Raw genomic sequence first — 16,970 nt, forward strand, 5'->3', positions numbered from 1 at the left:
AAGGACAGAAAAGAAAGAACAAGATTTTAAATGTAATACGTATTTGTGTAAGCACAGAAAAATTCTCGAAATGACATCCAACAGTGTTAACATTGTTAATAGAGGGATGGAATTGAAAGGATGGAGAAGTTACTTTTTTCTTTTCACATTTCTGCGTTGTTTAACCTTCTTGGAAGGAATTGTTTGTCCAAGCCCTTAGCTCAAACCAAACTAGACTTTGCTATGGGAAAATGAGTAGGCTCGAATTCGCACACACATCAGGGAACAGTGACCTTGATACTGTTACGTATTCTTTGTACAATATTGGTTTGTTGCCTTTTTTAAAGTATCTGTTGAACACTGGTAAATTTTGTTCCCCGCCTCTCTGGTAATCGCTCGACCTGTTCTTTCCAGCAGGTATTTCTCCTGCAGAACCTGCTGGCTGGCCCCCGCCCTTATCTCTGGACTGCTTTGGAACCAGCGCGGCTTCTGTGTGGCAGCTACTGAGTGCACGCTCGACCTTTGCCACCCTCCGCGCTGATGGAAACTGGAGGAGGATGTGGTTTAGACACAATGTGGCCCAAGCGTCCTTGTTTCCTGAATATACCCCAAAGTACAAGTCCCATCTCCAGTTTTGAAAGAATTCCCCGAGGAAAGGGGCTTGAGTGGAGTGGGTGGAGGTGAGAGGGGAAGATGAGGTGTTGGAGAAGCCCGGCGCACGGGGCCTCTATTAATATTAACTTTTATTAAGAGTTGGCCTTTCCCCGGGGCTTCACAAAGCAGGAAGTCAAGGGCAGTGGAACAGGGAAGGGAACTGGCAGGAAGAGAAGACCTTGAGTAAATTATTTAGCTGTGACACGAGATTAAGAGTGACCCCACCCTCCTCCCTGCCCCACACACCCTAAAGTGGGCCCAGGTTGGGGAGCAGCGCTCCAGCTGCCACTAATCATGGAAGCCCAGAGGCGAAATCAGCTTCCCGGGGACCCAGAAAATTGCTGGAGTCTGGCGAGGGGCAAATCAGGAAGTGTCTTTGTCGGAGATGGGACGGAACCCGGCTTCGGGGCGCAACCGGGCTCTGGGGGAGACCGCGTTTGTCCAGGTGGCAGGCCGCGCCTTCTGATGGCTGTGAAGAGAAGGAGCGGGGGTTTTAAGAGCCACAGCGCCACCGAGAGAGTGGAAAGGAGTAGATTAGCTCGCGCCTGCTATGCGAGGCGACTCCCCCCGAGACCCACCCGCAGCCCAGCGCCCTTGGCCAGGAGGCCCGGAAAGCCACCGAGGCGGCCGAAAGGGGCCGCGGGGCACCCCTCAGCCCCTCCTGCGGCGGCTCCGGCTGCCCCTGCTCAGCCTCCCGCTCCCCGCCCGGAGTCCCAGCTCTCAGATCGGCCGCAGAGCTGGGAACAGAGGCCGCGGGGTCCAGGCCGTTCCGCCCGCTCAGCCGGAGCAGCAGCGCCGCCTGCCGGGGGCCTCGCGCAGGCGAGACAGGCCAGACGCCGGAGGCCGCGGGCGGCTGCAGCTTTGACGGGCCGAACACACCAGCGCTCCCGTTCCGCCTTTTGAAAATCAAATCCCTTGGGCCTGGTGCCACCATCGCTCAGCCCAGGTCTTCGACGACGGGTCGAAGGCCAGTGCTCCAGGCCTTCTTCACCGAGTGGCTTCGGCGCTTGCGGCCCAGGTTCCCCGCACCTCCGCGCCGTAGTTGCGCGCACCTTTTGAAAAGCTTGGCGTCTTCAGGTATAAGGACAAAAACAACCGCGGACATCACACCATTCCAAAGAAGAAAAAGAAAGTGCCCGGAATCTCAGGGCGCGACTTCCGGGGCGACGGGCGGCGGCGGAGAGGCGCTCCCCGGGCTTCCTACCCGGCAGGAGGCCGCGGCGCCGGGACCTCGCCTGCCCTCACCGCGCGCCACCTCTCGGGAGACGCCGCGAATCTCTCCAGGGAATCCCGGGCAGCGGCGCAGACCCAGCAAGGACCGGCAGCAGGCCGAGACCGGCCGTCTTGGGCGAGAGCAGCGGGACACGAGCCCCCGGGCGCCCGCTGGGAGCGCGGGGAGGCTCTGGGCTCAGGGAAGCTGCGCTCCGAGTGGCCTTGGAGGACGGTCAAGGAGCCCGGGCCCCGCGGCGGCCGGGAGTGGACGCGACTGGTCCGCGCCGGCCGCAGGGGAAGGGGCGGGTCGGCGCTGCCTGAGCTCTATCTGCTCTAATGGCTGGGGTAGATCCGCGGAGATACTTGAATACCAGGCCGAACGCTTCCCCAAGGCGTGTTGTAGACAACGGGCCCATTTGAGCATGTGCAAAGAACAAATTTCATCCATTTTTCTGTCTAAAACATTCAAAGACTCAAATCTAGACAATAGTTTCTCTGAGGTAGAAGTGTTGGGGGTGGGGGGTGGGTGGGAATAAACTAAAAGTTGGGGTAATGAGCTTGTTTCTTGTCTATTTTGTCTGACTATAGATTTACAAAAGGAGCACCCTGCTTTACTCAGTAATACCAGGCCCTCCTAGAAACTTACCCACCAGCTTCACATGGCATGATCATTTGATGAATCGCTTTTTAGTTTCCCATTCCGGACAAATATCCACCCAAGAGAACCAATCATAACACTGGATGTATTAACGCATGTCAAGACTCTCACTTCTCTGTAGAAATGAGAAATAAATGTCGATTGTTGGTTTTCTGTAGACTTGTGATCACGCCCAGGAACTGTCATTTTCCAGTTACCAGAATCTGAATCATTGTCTAATGTGCCACGTATATAACAATATATCACTAACAGCGATCTAAAAGCGTAAAGATGTTTACGTAAAATTCATAGATTTGATGAAAATAATAGGAATGAATGAAAATAAATACAAGAATCTGGATTTCTAAAATACGCATTATTTTTAACAAAGTGGTCCAAGGGAAAAATAATGTTTTAAGTTTTTATGTGCGGATTCCAGACAAGCATTCTTTCTTTTTGTTCTTCCTGCACTCTCCTACATTTCTATGTTGTTACTAGACAGTGATGTCTGGTTCTGACTTATTTATGTATTTTTTTCTATTTGTTTCTGGCAATGCACATAATAAGAAATACACATAGCAATATTCTTGCTGTTGTTGTTCATAACCACTGAGAAAAAAAAGCAGCAACAAGTAGGAATAAAAGAAGCCTCAGCCACAGAATGGCAAGAAACGTTATATGTTTTTTAGGGCCACTCTTTGCACCTCGTTTTACAGACAGGTTACTACTTATCAGCTTACTGACCTTGGGAAGACCCCAACCTCTGAGCTACCACTTCCTCATCTGTAACCTGAGGATCCAGTGAAGTCATGTAAGACAATGTAGCATTGTACGCTTATGACTAGACCCCAGTCATGACATGAGCTGCTTCTGTCTAGAAAATAGAGGGCTGGCAGGGCACGTTGGCTCACGACTGTAATCTCAGCACTTTGGGAGGCCGAGGCAGGCGGATCATGAGGTCAGGAGTTCAAGACCAGCCTGGCCGACATGGTGAAACCCTGTCTCTACTAAAAATACAAAAATTAGCTGTGTGTGGTGGTGCGCGCCTGTAATCCCAGCTACTGAGGAGGCTGAGCCAGGAGAATCGCTTGAACCTAGGAGGCGGAGATTGCAGTGAGCCAAGATCGCATCACTGCGCTCCAGCCTGGAGACAGAGCGAGACTCCATCTAAAAAAAAAAAAAGAAAAAAGAAAAAGAAAAGAAAAGAAAAATGAAAGAAAAAGAAAAGAAAAGAAAAATGAAAGAAAAGAAAAGAGAGGGCCGAGTGAAGACTGAAAACAGAATCTAGTTCTGTTAAGTTTTGCTGTAGCTGTTGTTTTTTAAATATTAGCTATACAGAGTGAAAGAACAATACCCGAAGTGTATTTCGTGAGTAGGAAACAGAGCCTGCCCTGGTCATTTTTAACAACTCCTAATCTGTGGTTTAGGTATATAATCCTTGTTCTTGATTCTACTAATTATCAATAAATTAAAATTATTTAAGTGCCACATAACAAGCCATCATAAGTTTGTATTACAATGACTTTAGCTCTGCATTGTTTTTCCTTGTTTGCTTCCCTGAGGTTGGAGAGGAACTTATCAACTACCACTTCCATAAAACCTATTATCATCATACTACAGATACTAAGTTTGAGATAGCAGACTGTTAATCCTGAAAGTTCTGAGATAACACATGAGCAATTAGGAAAAAATTCCTTTTTAGTTTTGAACTTAAAACTCAAATATGAAAGTGCATGAACTGCCCAGGGTTTTTACTTACCAATAAAATACTGGACACATAAACCCAGTACGTGATATAAATATTATTTTTAAGTAAATGTGCGTGTGAGGGGATGGTTTGAAAATCATTTCATCTCAGGGAAGTCTTTTTCGTGGATCAAAACTGGTTGTGTTGTGGTTTATGGATTACATCTCTAGCACAGAATCACCAGGATCCTGCTTTACTGGTTATTTAACTTTGGGGCTCTGGCAACCTTGTTGATATTATCTATATCTGCTGTGGTTAATGACAAATTCCAATTGGGAAAAGCTGTTGTTAAAACAAATGTAATGTTTGGGCACTAAAGATGCAGGAGCCAAAAGGTCACCTAAGTGCTGCCCCCACCTTCTCTGGACTGATTCCTCCAGGAAGAATGTCAAGGTAAACGTTGGTATAATCTCCGGAACTCACAGAGTCTACCTTCTTTATCTGGAATTTGAGAGGTTTTTTTTCTAAATCTAATGTCATAACCTTCTAGAAAGTCATGATATTTTATACATATATGTCTATATATGTGTAAATATGTATAAAATATGTCTATCTTTATTTATATATAGTATTCCTCTGATTTGTAGCTAAATATAAAATATCTCTATCTTTATTTATATATATGTATTCCTCTGATTTGTAACTAAAGAAAGAAGACAGCAGATGAGGCCGGGCGCGGTGGCTCACGCCTGTAATCCCAGCACTTTGGGAGGCCGAGGCAGGTGGATCACGAGGTCAGGAGATCGAGACCAGCCTGGCTAACACCGTGAACCTCGTCTCCACTAAAAAATACAAAAAATTAGCTGGGCATGGTGGCGGGTGCCTGCAGTCCCAGCTACTCAGGAGGCTGAGGCAGGAGAATGGCCTGAACCCGGGAGGCGGAGCTTGCAGTCAGCCGGGATCGCCACTGTGCTCCAGCCTGGGTGACAGCGAGACTCTGTCTCAAAAAAAAAAAAAAAAAAAGACAGCAGGTGATTCTTTTGGCCCAGTGTCACACAGCTAGCCCCACAGACATCTCTAAAACCTGCTTGGTTTGTTAAAATCATAGTGCACCCACTCCAAGAAGAGCAGGAGGCAAAAGGAAAAAGGCAAAGGAAAACTGACTGAATGTAGGAGTTGTGGGGTTGAAAATTTGTGCAGTCTAAGTGTGATTAAGAGGATAAGTTAAATATTTACAAATTAATCTACATTACTCAGATATGAATGTTTTTGTTATACTCTGAACAAAACCAATTTAATGCAAGATCTGCTGCCATAATTTTACTGTAAGGGAGAATTCTGGAGATGAGAGTAAAACATTTTTCTTAAAACAACATCTAAGGATGAATCAGCCTTAGAGAATTTAATCCTCAGCAGCCTGAGGTACAGGTTTAATATGTTAAACCTGTACCTCATATTAAATCTGTACTCTTGGGGTGGCTCCTGAAGAGTACAGAATTAATATTGAGGTGTTGAGGTAGAAATTATCTCAAAATAAAGAAACTTTTAATGCCATCTAGTTAGAGTATCTGCCTGTCTGCTCCTTTTGGGTTAAGAGTGTGCTGATGGCCAGGCACAGTGGCTCACACCTGTAATCCCAGCACTTTGGGAGGCTGAGGTGGGCAGATCACCTGAGGTCAGAAGTTCAAGACCAGCCTGGTTAACATGGTGAAACCCCGTCTCTACTAAATATACAAAAAAAAATTAGCCGGGCATTGTGGCGGTCGCCTGTAATCCCAGCTACTCAGAAGGCTGAGGCAGGAGAATTGCTTGAACCTGGGAGGTGGAGGTTGCAGTGAGCCGAGATCAAGCCATTGCACTCCAGCCTGGGCAACAAGAGCAAAAATTCGTCTTAAAAAAAAAAAAAGAGTGTGCTGATGGATTATTAGAAGGTTCTCAACTATATCCTCAACTAATCTTTATTCTCCTAAGTACAGCTAGAAACTAGATGTTCTAGTTGGGAACATGTCTTCTAGTAAATGAAAGGGCAAGTGAGCTATACAGATCAGCAACTTGTCGCCACATCTGAAATGCTACTTAGTGCCTTGCCACTCAAGATTTTATGCAGATGCTTAGGAAGTGGTAATCAAGGAACACAGACTTCAGGCAATTTTGACAAAGTAAGCAAAGCTGAATGCATTAGAAAAAAAATTCTGGGAAAGGGTTATTCTATCATAATTTGAGAAATTTTCTTGCTCAAAAGCTCTTTGTAAGGACTCTCCAGCACTTTGCAGAATACAGTACAAGAAGCTGCTCATATCATGACTGGGGTCTGGTCATAAGCATACAATGCTACATTGGCTCCCCATTGGATCCCCATGTTACAAATAAGGAAGTGGTAGCTCAGAGGTTGGGGCCTTCCCAAGGTCAGTAGGCTAGTAAATAGCAACCTGTCTAAAACGAGGTGCAAAGAGTGGCCCTAAAATATATCTATAACTTTTCGACCCAAAATTAGCCGGGCATGGTGGCGTGCACCTGCTGCTGAGACAGGAGACTCTCTTGAACCCAGGAGGCGAGGTCACAGTGAGCTGAGATCATGCCACTGCACTCCAGCTTGGGCGACTGAGTGAAACTCCATCTCAGAAAAAAATAAATAAATAAAATAACTTTTCTTGCCATTCTGTAGCTGAGACTTCTTTCATTTCTGCTTGTTGCCTCTTTTTTTTTCCGAGTGGTTGTGAACAACAACAGCAAGAATATTGCTATGTGTGTTTTTAGATTGTTATTTAATATTTTCTTCACTGACGTAGGCATCTTTCTGGATATTATTAGAAAGAAATGAAACACATTGCAATGAAATATTCGTTGCTTTCATTGGCAGTCCATCGTGTTAACTTTATTGGATGAATATGATAAAGCCACGAATTGTTCACGGCGGGGCGTGGGGGAGAAGACTCAGGCTGTTCATTCTCCATAAATACTTTTTTGTTTGTTTGTTTTTGAGGCGGAGTCTCTCTCTGTCGCCCAGGCTGCAGTGTAGTGGCTCGATCTCGGCTCACTGCAACCTCCGCCTCCCGGGTTCAAGTGATTCTCCTGCCTCAGCCTCCCGATAGCTGGGATTACAGGAGCGCACCACGACGCCCGGCTAATTTTTGTATTTTTAGCGGAGACGGGGTTTCGCCATGTTGGCTAGGCTGGTTTCGAACTCCTGACCTCAAGTGATTCGCCCGCCTCTGCCTCTCAAAGTGCTGAGATTACAGGCGTGAGCCACTGCGCCCGGCCCGGCCCATAGACACTTTTTTAAACCTCTGTTCCACAATATTGACAGGTTTTATTCTCATATTTATCCTAAATTTCTAGTATTACCATATATTAATACTGTGCCCACATTACTGTAATTTTTAGAAAGAAAACATCGTGTGCAAAATGACCCTTTTAGAATGGTATAGTCCCTCTCCCCCAATTTTGTTTTTCTTAAACATTCAACAAACCCAAGAATCTCTCCTGCCTGACTTAGTTTTAACTTAGTTTCAACAGGCCCACGACCAACGTAGAAAAATCTTGCAGCGCCCGGGTTTGGGCTCAGCCGGAGTCGGCAGAGGCGCTTGCACCTCCCAACTGGGTGAAAACTGGAACCTTTCCGGGTTCACGAGCCCAAGCCCCATCTCTTCCCAGAGCGCGCGCGCCCTCTGGCGCCTGAACCGGCGACTGGACGCGGTGGAGGCGTGGGATTCGGAGGCCGGGACCCCAAGCTCTGCGCTGGAGGCGTCAGGAGCCGCGAGGTCATCCGGTCTCAACCTCAGGCGCCCCTGTGCAGGCCTCCCTACACTCCTCAAGCTGCGCTCCCTACTCGTGCCACATCCCTTGTTCCGTAGGTATTGCTTCGGGGGTGACACAGTTGGCGTTAGAAGCGCGGTGGCCTCACTTGCCGGAGAGGGTCTTGGTTTTGCGCCTTTTTCCGTGGCCCGGGAGGCTTGCCAGGCGCTCGCAGCAGCGAGCCGGGTGCTTGCATCTCAGAGAGCAGCCGAGCTCCCTTCCCTGGCCCCGTACCCGCGTGCAAGGGGACCGAGCCCCGGGAAGGGGAAGAACTTGTAATCGCTTGCAGCGGGACAATGTCGACTTTTGAACCTCTAACCACTAAGCAAACAACCCATGTGCTCTTGCTCCACTGTCCAAACAGGGTTTATTGACAGGCGTTTCACGGCAACGCATAGCAACCCCGGCGGCTAGGGGGCGGGCCTGTGGGCGCGGCCGGGGCGCGGGGAGACCTGCGGGGCACCGGGGCTCAGACCGGCCCTGACCCAGGACCCCTGACCCAGGACCCCTCGCCCAGCGGACCCGGACACGGCTTCCTCCTCTGCCCGGCACCCCCCGACCCCACGCCCCGCACTCCTCCCTCTGGCTTCGAGGCCAGGCGCCCGCGGGCCGGGCCACCGGAGCCCCTTTCCCAATCCTGGAGCTGTATACGCCACCCGGAAGGGCCGCGGAATTGGAGAGGTGCTGCAGAGGGTCTATACCTCTTGCTGTTTCCCGGCTCTGCTCATCTTCCCCAACTGCCCTTAAGGCGCCTCCGTGGGCGCGCTGATTAGGCTCTCGGATGTTGGTGGGAAGATCGAAACGAAGGGCTAAGCCCCCCTCGCCCGGGTCCTGCCGGAAAGTTCAGCTCGGCGGCCTCCAGGATCAAAAATTTTAAAGGCTGCAGCCCGGTCCCCAGTGGATCGGCCAGATAACAAGAAACTGTCACTAAAAGGATCATTTTATACTGGGTCTAGAAATCTTGTTTGTGGGGTGATTGGGTTGGAAGGGGGGGCGCGGTCGGGGATAAGGAAACTGCAAAGACAGAGAAGAGAGTGGAGGCAGAAAGGGCTCACGGAAATGCCCAGTGATTTACAGAAGACTAAATTCATGGAAATGCTGTCTTGGGAAACTAGGGGGATTTTTTTTAAAAAAAATTTAATGCTCACGTTTAACTAGCTGGGTTGTGGGGCGTCCTTAGGAGGGAGTCACTGCAGAAGGGAACTGCCTGCTGTTTGCAAAAAGCCTCCATGTGGATTTGGTGAGATGCTATGAGGGGGCCCTCTCACCCCCACCCCCCATAATTTCTGACTGCTGGGAAGCACCTGGCCATTCAGATGTGCATTTTGCCCAAAGGCACCCCCAGGAGAGCCACGCATTCCAAGGCTGGGCTCAGGCTTGGGGGCAGGGAAGGTCTCAGAACCTGCTCTTTCAGGCTTCTGATGCTCTGGGGTAAAATGAGGCTGTCCAGATAATCTCCACTCCCTCTCTGAATTTTCCAAATCAGCTTGCAAGCAGAGAAGATATTTCATTTCTTTAAAAAATAAAAAATAGTTGCAGACAAAATCTGAAGATAAATACAGAATCTGAAATCTGGAAAGCTCATTTATCTCTTTTTCTTTTTAGAAAAAATTCAACTGTGTTCAAATACTCCCCACTTCCCTTCACCATATCACTTCTCCCCCCATGGATCCAGAAGGCTTTAAAAACTCTGGCTTGGATGTTACACAGACCAACAACCCAAACAGCAGCAACAACAACACAAACTCCCCCCACCCCCTTCTTCATCAGCCCCAAGATTGTGAAAATGACAGGAAGTCCAGGTTGGCTCTGGCATTTATAGCACTGACATACATTCAGCCCAGAGAAGCTCTGGTGACAGGCTCTCTAAACAAGTCCCTGTTCGGGCCCCCTGGTCAGGCCTGGAGTCCAATAACCACCCCCTCATACCACACCCTGTGCATACACCAGCCAAGCCTTTCCTGGTCTGGGAAGGGAAGAGAAAAAAGACGCAGGCCACCTGGGGGTTCTGCAGTCTTTGGTCAGTCCAGCTTTCTATCTTAGCTGCCTTTGGCTTCCGCAGTGTAAACCTTGCCTGCCCGGAGGCAGGAGGCCCAGCTGGACCTCCGAGGGCCATGAGCAGGCAGCAGCCATCTTGGCCTCAAGCTTGCCTTTCCCTTGAGTCCCTCTCTCCCCTCGGCTCTAGCCAGAGGTGCAGCCTGCAGATCTAGGAAGAGAAGAGCTGGGGAGGAGGATGAAGGCCTGGTTGGTGTGGTCAGTCCAGGCAATGCTTCTGCCAGTCCGGAATGAAGCCCAGCGGAGGCTTTCTGTCTCCTCAGTGGCAGAAAAAGCCAGATGGGAAAAAGTAAAAATCTGGGAGAGTATATTTCTTGAGGCCCCAAATCCCACTTGTCTTACTCCTGGCTCCCATTTTTCCTCTGAGAGCCAGGTCTGTAGGTCTATGGCTGTGGGTGGGAGGGGAGGGGTCTCTCCTGAGGAGTCTAGCAGAGTCCACGCTCCTCATGGCTCAGCCTGGAATTGCTCTGCCGCTGCAGAACCCGGTGGGTCACTGGGTGACGGTGGGGTTTAGCACCCCCCCAGTTGGCCCCAGAACCCCAGGGACAGAGCCAGGCACTGAGGCTTGCAGGGAAGACACCGGACTCAAGGGCTCTGGGACACTTCTCAGAGGACCTGGCTGAGGCTGGGGAGGCTGTGGTGGCGGCGGAGGCGGCTGTGGTGGCTGCTGCTGCTGTTGCTGCTGCAACTTCTTCTTGTTGATTTTCCTCTCCTTTGCTCTGCGGTTCTGAAACCAGATTTTAACCTAGAAATGGAAAGGTGGAGAAAAGCACATTGTGGTGAAGATGTGAGGGAAAAGAGGAACAGTACCCAGCAGTATCATCAACATCTTCTGCTCCAGCTACAGAACTCCAAGTCCTTCTAGAAGCTTTCCTCGGGCATCCCCATAACAGCCCAACCCTGGATCCATTCTTAGGCCCAATTCAGCCTCATGGGGAAGAGTCTTCCTCCTTCCTTGCTCCCTGAGTTTCTTTTCAAAGCAACTTTTATCTACGTATTTACTGCAAAAGTTTAAAGTCTCAGAACCAAGGAAAACTGAAACTGCAAGGCCCTTTCTACACAGCAAAGGGAGGCCAGTGCTGGGTGGTATACTTCAAATGGCAACCTTTGGCCCCTCAAGGCTAAACTAAAACGTAATTTTCCTCACCTTAGAGCTGAAAATGAGATTTAATTTTGTGGCTTCCTGGCTGTGAAGTTGGCCTGTTTTTCTAGACTATATATATAAAATGTTCATGAACCAAGTCTTGTCCCTCTAGTTTTTGTGAGAGACTGAGTACTTTATTCAGTTTATTTTCTTAGGTACAGTGCTGGAAACAAAGAGAATAGGTCTTTAATATGTCTTTATAGACCCAAATGGAATTCTGGATTAAACTAATACCCTTGGCTGTTTTTCACACTTCTTATATCCCTCAAAAGAGAGAGACAGAAAAAATCAACAACATCAAAAAAAGAGGACTAAAGGTAGAAGGAGGCTTTTTAAAAAAGTACTCCAGGGCCAGGCACAGTGGCTCACACCTGTAATCTCAGCACTTTGGGAGGCCGAGGCGGGTGGATCACCTGAGGCCAGGAGTTCGAGACTAGCCTGACTAACATGGAGAAACCGCATTTCTACTAAAAATACAAAATTAGCCGGGCGTGGTGGCACATGCCTGTAGTCCCAGCTATTTGGGAGGCTGAAGCAGGAGAATCGCTTGAACCCGGGAGGCAGAGGTTGCAGTGAGCTGAGACCGCGCCATTGCACTTCAGCCTGCACAACAAGAGTGAAACTGCGTTTCGACGGTGGCGGGTGGGGGGGCATGTACTCCAGGCCAGGCATGGTGGTTCACACCGGTAATCTCAGCACTTTAGGAGTCCAAGACAGGAGGAGCATTTGGAGTTTGAGACCAACCTGGGTAAGACAGTGAGACCATCTCTGCAAAAAATTTAAACATTAGCCAGTCATGGTGGCTCGAGCCTGTAGTCCAAGCTACTCAGGTGACTGAGGCAGGAGGATCCCTTCAGCTCAGGAAGTCAGGGCTGCAGTGAGCTATGATTGTGCCACTACACTCCAGCCTGGGCCACAAAGCAAGACCCCATCTCTGTTTAAAAAAAAAAAAAAAAAAAAAAAGGACTCCAAAGACGAATGCTTGCATCCTCCTGCTTCAGTCTCTCCACAGATTTAGATGGCCCCTGCAGCCAGATTTTCTAACTCTCATGGTCCTCTGCCAGGCAGTGGCCCGCCCGGAGGGAGCTAGGCGGTCCCCACCTGCCTCTCAGAGAGCCCCAGCGTGGCGGCTAGCTCGGCTTTCCTCCGGATGGTGATGTAGCGACTGTAGTGAAACTCCTTCTCCAGCTCCAGCCGCTGGTGGTCCGTGTACACCACTCGATATTTGTCTTTCGTCCTGGTTTTCACTGTGGAGGAAGGAGAAGTGAGGGCTGAGAACTGCAAGGCAGCCCATCAGTCATGGGTAATGACAAACCTCCCTAACCCAGGGACATTTCTCTTCCTCCACCACCCTGGGGGGCCCGGGTTTGGCTGGTTCCTGCCAAGTCTGACAAGACCCCCCAGAGGGTCCTGTGGGGGGAGGGTATGAGGCTAGTGGAGGCAACTAAACTAACCTTGGTATTAAGTGGTTTTTAAAAATTAAGGAAAGTGAAAACCTCATTCACACAGAAGACAGCAGAATGTAACCACCCTTTCGGTAAACCAAATACAGTACTGGCATATATTTGACACCAAGGGAAAGGGGGCAGGGTGAAGTGGCCGGGATCCTGGAAGCATCCAGATTTCCAGGCCTACCAGAGATGGAAGCCCACCCCGAAAACAGCTGTCATTGTGGGCACATGTTGTAGAGGGGGTGTGGGGGTTACTACTTTGCTTTACTACAAGTGGAAAGCGGGGCTCAGGAGCTGACAAGTCGCCAGAATCATCCCCCAGACACACCAGGCCCATCAGGTGGAATTCTGAGCTGGGCTCTGGCCGAGGGAACAGGCAGAAAACCCCTCCTGCTGGGGACACTTTATACCTGCCCAGACCAGGTTTGGCGTTTGGTACTTTTTCTTTTTTGATCCTCCATTTATTCCTGCTGCAAATCCGGCCAGAGTTATCCTGACCAGTGATCTATGCTCATTGGATTGAGTCAACATATTAAATCCCAGATTGATTGTTTTACTGAAGGGCCTTGACAAATAGTGTCCACAATGTTGGAGCAGGCCCGAGCCTGGCGTCTCCACCAGGTCTGTCTTGGCTCAGCCCTTGGCAGAGCCCTGGCCAGAAGCTGTTCTCTCTGGCTCCGTCCCACTTTTGGGTCTTCTTGCAGCTGAACAGGTTCAATCGCCCAGTGCCCAATCCCACAGAAAGATCTGAAGGGCCTGGGAGTTGCCTGGAGGTGTTTAATGCCCCGCAGGCTGACTTTGTTCAGGTAAAACCCTTTGCAAACCACAACAAAAGCGTCCTGGGAAGATACAGGCCTGATCAGAGGGAGCTCCCCCGAGCCGCTGAAAGGCCAACACAGCCGCAAACAATGCAGGACAAGGCGATCTTATCAAAGAAAAGCCCTTTCAATGCCTTAATAACAACCACATTCTGTTTGAATTACCACTACTGAGCAAATGGCGGCCCCGGCTTTCATCCCCCTCCCCGCCAGGCGCATTAACATAAACACGACCCTGCAGGCGCATTTGAATGGGGCTGCGGCCCCGACCCCGCGCCTGCTATGAAAGTAAAGGGAACTAACGCGACTTTCTCCGCGGTGGACGCTCGGACACGCGTGACCGCCTCAAACCCACTCCAGGCTGCCATTGGTACTCGCCCCTTTTTACAGATGAGGAAATGGAGAATCAGACCGGGTCACGCAGATAGTATCAGGCGGGGTTGGCACCGGAGCCTGGCTGGAGCCACAGAGGACACCTCCGGAGCTGAGGCGCAGGGCAGTTCCCTCAGCCGAACACCCCGGGAGGGAGACTCGCCTGGAAGTGTCTCGGAGCGACCCTTGCTCGGGTGCTGCCCCTTCAGTGTCCCGGACGTGCCGGGCAACGCGATGACCAGACCCTGAGCGCTCTTCGACCCATGCCCCAAGGGCCTTGGAGGCGCCCCACACCCCCTGGGAACCTAGGAGCGGGGCTATGGAGGGGAGGGATGAGAGGGACTTGTCAGAATTCATTATTGACTGCGAAAGTCACCACCCTCTTTCCGGGCCCTAAAAGAGACAATGGCAGGGCTGGGAAGGTGTATATCAAAGCAAGCCAGGCCGCGTCCCCCCCTCCACCCCCACACCTTGACAGATGACGCTCCGCAGAGGAGCCCGGCTCCGGCCCGCGGGCTGCGGCCACCCCACATTAACATCACAAGGGCACCCGGCGCCGACTGCGGCCTTGCCACCTCGGCGCAGGACTTCACAGCGGCCTCTCATCTGCTGACCCCGCGGCCTGGGCTCTGGCGGCTTCCCTCCCGCCCCCTTCCCGGCCCTCACCCCGCGGCCGCTCTCCCGGGACACGCAAAGGTCTTCCTTAGGGCGTGCGCCACCCCCGCCAACCGCGCCCCAGACAGGGGCTGTAGAAAGTGGGTCTTTGGGAGCCAGGATCTGGGAGCCCCTGCTAGGAGAAAGGCGCCTCCTCTAGGAGAAGGGACCAAGCCAAAGCTCTGAGGCTCACCCGAGGCTGATCTGTGGCCTTCTCCCCGGTCGGCGGCATTCCCACCAGGACTCTCCCTAGCATGTGCACAGTGACGCAGAAACCGATGCCCAGAGACAGCCCCCAAAGGGCGCTTTGATTTATACAGTTGTAATTGGCTATAAACTTCTGCAAAGTGCCCATAACCAGCGTGCCTGCCCAATTGGGGCATCAAGGAGCGAAGCAAGAAAAGCGGAAGCGCTGAGGGCTGGGGAAAGACTTTAAAAGGGGCACTCAACTAGGACTCTCCCCACCGCACTTCCTTGCCACCTCTAGGCACACTCGAACACCAGAAGGGGCAGACCCAGAGTCAATGAGCCCCACAGTCCGGCAAACCTAGGATCTTTTTCAGTTGCACACACACACTCACAGACATCCCTGACACCCTTGAAAGGAAGCTTTGGGAGAAATGACCCCTACCTGGAGCGGCGGCTTAATTCCCACCAGGGTTTCCTCCCCGTCTCCCTGCTCTCTCCGCAGACGCCTGCCCCTAGGCTTCTTGCCCCTAGCCTTCCAGCTTTTGCTTGAAATGACCCCTTCACAGGTCAGAGGTTCAGAGACGGGGCGCGCCCCCGTCGCCTTAGCAGCTGGGGCTAGCACCTTCTTCCCAGCGACAGCAGCTCTCCCTGGTCTGCCTGCTCGCTGTACCTTGAATTGGCCCGAGTGGCCAAACCCGGTCCCACACACAGCCTAGCCATCCTCCGACCCCCCCAGGTCACTTCTCTTCTTAGATGGCTCAGATGGGGAAAGAGAGAGCGGAGATAAATGGCCTAGACCTAGCCCAAGAAGGTTCGAGCCTCCCTCTCTCCTCGGCGGCCAGGAGCCACGCAAGGAATGCATGCCGCAGCAAGTGCCGGAGGACGCGATTCTGCCGGCGTCCAGCAGTGCTCACGCCGACATTCCCCGGAGCTTCCCGAAGGTGTCCCGGGGTTGCGAATGAGGAGCTCTTGGAAAGAGGACGCCTGAACACGGTGTTGAGACTCAGAATATTCACTCCCAGGCTCAGTAGGTCAGAGAAGCCCCGACGGGCCAGAGGCCCCCGAATTTGTCTCCGGGCCGTGCCCCTCCTGGCGCCGAGCTCCCAGACAGCCCGGGACGCCCCTGTGCGCACTGGACGCGCGACGCGCAGCAGCCACTGGCTCGACCCGCGCCTTCCCAAGCACCCTCCGAAGGGGCGCAGCCTCTGCTTACCTTGGCTGCCGAGGGACTGCTGCGCCGGCTTCCGCATCCACTCGCACAGGTTCCGCCGCTGGCCGCCGGGAGACAGCTGCTCGGCGGCAGCGGTGGCGGCGGGCCCAGGAGGGCCGGGGTTGAGCGTTTGCAGCAGCCCAGAAGCGCAGGAAGGCGCGGCGGCCGGGTGGTGCGGGTGGTGATGCGGGTGGTGGTGCGGATGGTAGTCTGCGGGGCTGCTGTAGCCCATGGCTGCGGCCGGGGAGCCACCGTTGAGGCCGTGAGCCACGGCGTTGGCGGCGGCCGCGGCGCCTCCGGGCGCGTAGCCATTCCAGTCCTCCCGGAGTGGGGCGCCATACGCTGCCGGCCAGGATGGCCCCGGGGACTGCGCGCTGTCCAAGTTCGCTGCCGCTGCAGCTGCGGCCGCCACGTGGTAACCGCCGTAGTCCGGGTACTGCGGGGGGCTGACGAAGTTCTGCGGCGCCAGGTTGAGGCCGCCAGAGTGGCGCACGGAGCTAGGGTACATGCTCACGTCCTTGTCCAGGAGGTAGCTCACGTACATGGTGGCGAGGGTCCGGGAGCAGACCTCACCATGCTGCCTGGGGACCGACGCTGGAGGCTGCCGGGGGGCACGAAGGGAAAGGGGCGAGGGGACTCGAGGAGCGGCGGGTGGCTGCGCCCCAGCCCGCGGTGCTCCGCTGGCTCCTCGCGGCTCTTCTGCCTCCGAGGCGGTCCCTCCCTCTGGCCTGCCTCCTCCCTCCCTCCCTTTCTTCCTTCTTTCCTCCCACCTCCTTCCCACTAGGCTGCAGAGGCGGGGAAGACCCGCCACAGGCTGGCGTGCGGAGCCCCAGGCCGGCGGCCTTCCGTGATTAACGAGTGTTTACAAGACTCTATTAGTAATGACACAGACACCAATGGTTGGAGACGTCGAGGCGCAGCGCGCACTCTACGCACAACCCCTCGAAACATAATTTGCATTTTAAAAGATAAAGGGGAGGGAGGCTCGTGAGAGGGCAGCGACCTGACACAGCTAAATATTCAAACCTTTATTGTTAAGAGCTTCCTCCTTCCAACCTGGTGCACTTTAACCTCCAATCACAGGTTCAAAGAATGAAATCAAGAGACTTACAA

The 16,970-nt window shown here is 52.2% G+C and overlaps 1 protein-coding gene and 1 long non-coding RNA gene across 7 annotated transcripts, besides 4 other annotated features; one reads left to right on the top strand and one right to left on the bottom strand.

Annotated features, from left to right (window-relative positions):
• The first annotated feature begins 920 nt into the window (after positions 1–920).
• Positions 921–2,758, top strand: LINC00543 (long intergenic non-protein coding RNA 543). Its single transcript, NR_135254.1, has one exon. It is a non-coding gene; the product is annotated as a long intergenic non-protein coding RNA 543 (long non-coding RNA).
• Positions 1,111–1,500: a silencer, noted in NCBI's record as "silent region_5205". NCBI's record gives its function as "represses an Ori minimal core promoter by ATAC-STARR-seq in GM12878 lymphoblastoid cells {active_cell/tissue: GM12878}" and the evidence as "EXISTENCE:reporter gene assay evidence [ECO:0000049][PMID:35858748]".
• A 5,554-nt stretch (positions 2,759–8,312) lies between the features above and the next one.
• Positions 8,313–16,710, bottom strand: CDX2 (caudal type homeobox 2). Of its 6 annotated transcripts, none has more exons than NM_001354700.2 (3): positions 15,861–16,710; positions 12,269–12,410; positions 8,313–10,764 (listed from the first exon to the last, which is right to left on the bottom strand). In NM_001354700.2, exons 1-3 carry the CDS (start codon positions 16,399–16,401, stop codon positions 10,626–10,628), a joined length of 822 nt encoding a protein of 273 aa, NP_001341629.1. In that variant the 5' UTR covers positions 16,402–16,710; the 3' UTR covers positions 8,313–10,625. The 6 variants fall into 6 exon arrangements, with proteins under 6 accessions (NP_001341629.1, NP_001256.4, XP_011533178.1 ...); NM_001265.6 differs by having other exon boundaries at positions 12,265–12,410; XM_011534876.3 differs by having other exon boundaries at positions 12,269–12,434.
• Positions 13,177–13,868: an enhancer, noted in NCBI's record as "OCT4-NANOG-H3K4me1 hESC enhancer chr13:28539919-28540610 (GRCh37/hg19 assembly coordinates)". NCBI's record gives its function as "activates a minimal SCP1, AML or CMV promoter by ChIP-STARR-seq in naive and primed H9 embryonic stem cells {active_cell/tissue: H9 hESC(naive and primed)}" and the evidence as "EXISTENCE:reporter gene assay evidence [ECO:0000049][PMID:30033119]".
• Positions 13,869–14,560: an enhancer, noted in NCBI's record as "NANOG-H3K4me1 hESC enhancer chr13:28540611-28541302 (GRCh37/hg19 assembly coordinates)". NCBI's record gives its function as "activates a minimal SCP1, AML or CMV promoter by ChIP-STARR-seq in naive H9 embryonic stem cells {active_cell/tissue: H9 hESC(naive)}" and the evidence as "EXISTENCE:reporter gene assay evidence [ECO:0000049][PMID:30033119]".
• Positions 15,945–16,636: an enhancer, noted in NCBI's record as "OCT4-NANOG-H3K27ac-H3K4me1 hESC enhancer chr13:28542687-28543378 (GRCh37/hg19 assembly coordinates)". NCBI's record gives its function as "activates a minimal SCP1, AML or CMV promoter by ChIP-STARR-seq in naive H9 embryonic stem cells {active_cell/tissue: H9 hESC(naive)}" and the evidence as "EXISTENCE:reporter gene assay evidence [ECO:0000049][PMID:30033119]".

This window comes from Homo sapiens, chromosome 13, assembly GCF_000001405.40.
Source record: "Homo sapiens chromosome 13, GRCh38.p14 Primary Assembly".
Taxonomy (NCBI): Eukaryota; Metazoa; Chordata; class Mammalia; order Primates; family Hominidae; genus Homo; species Homo sapiens.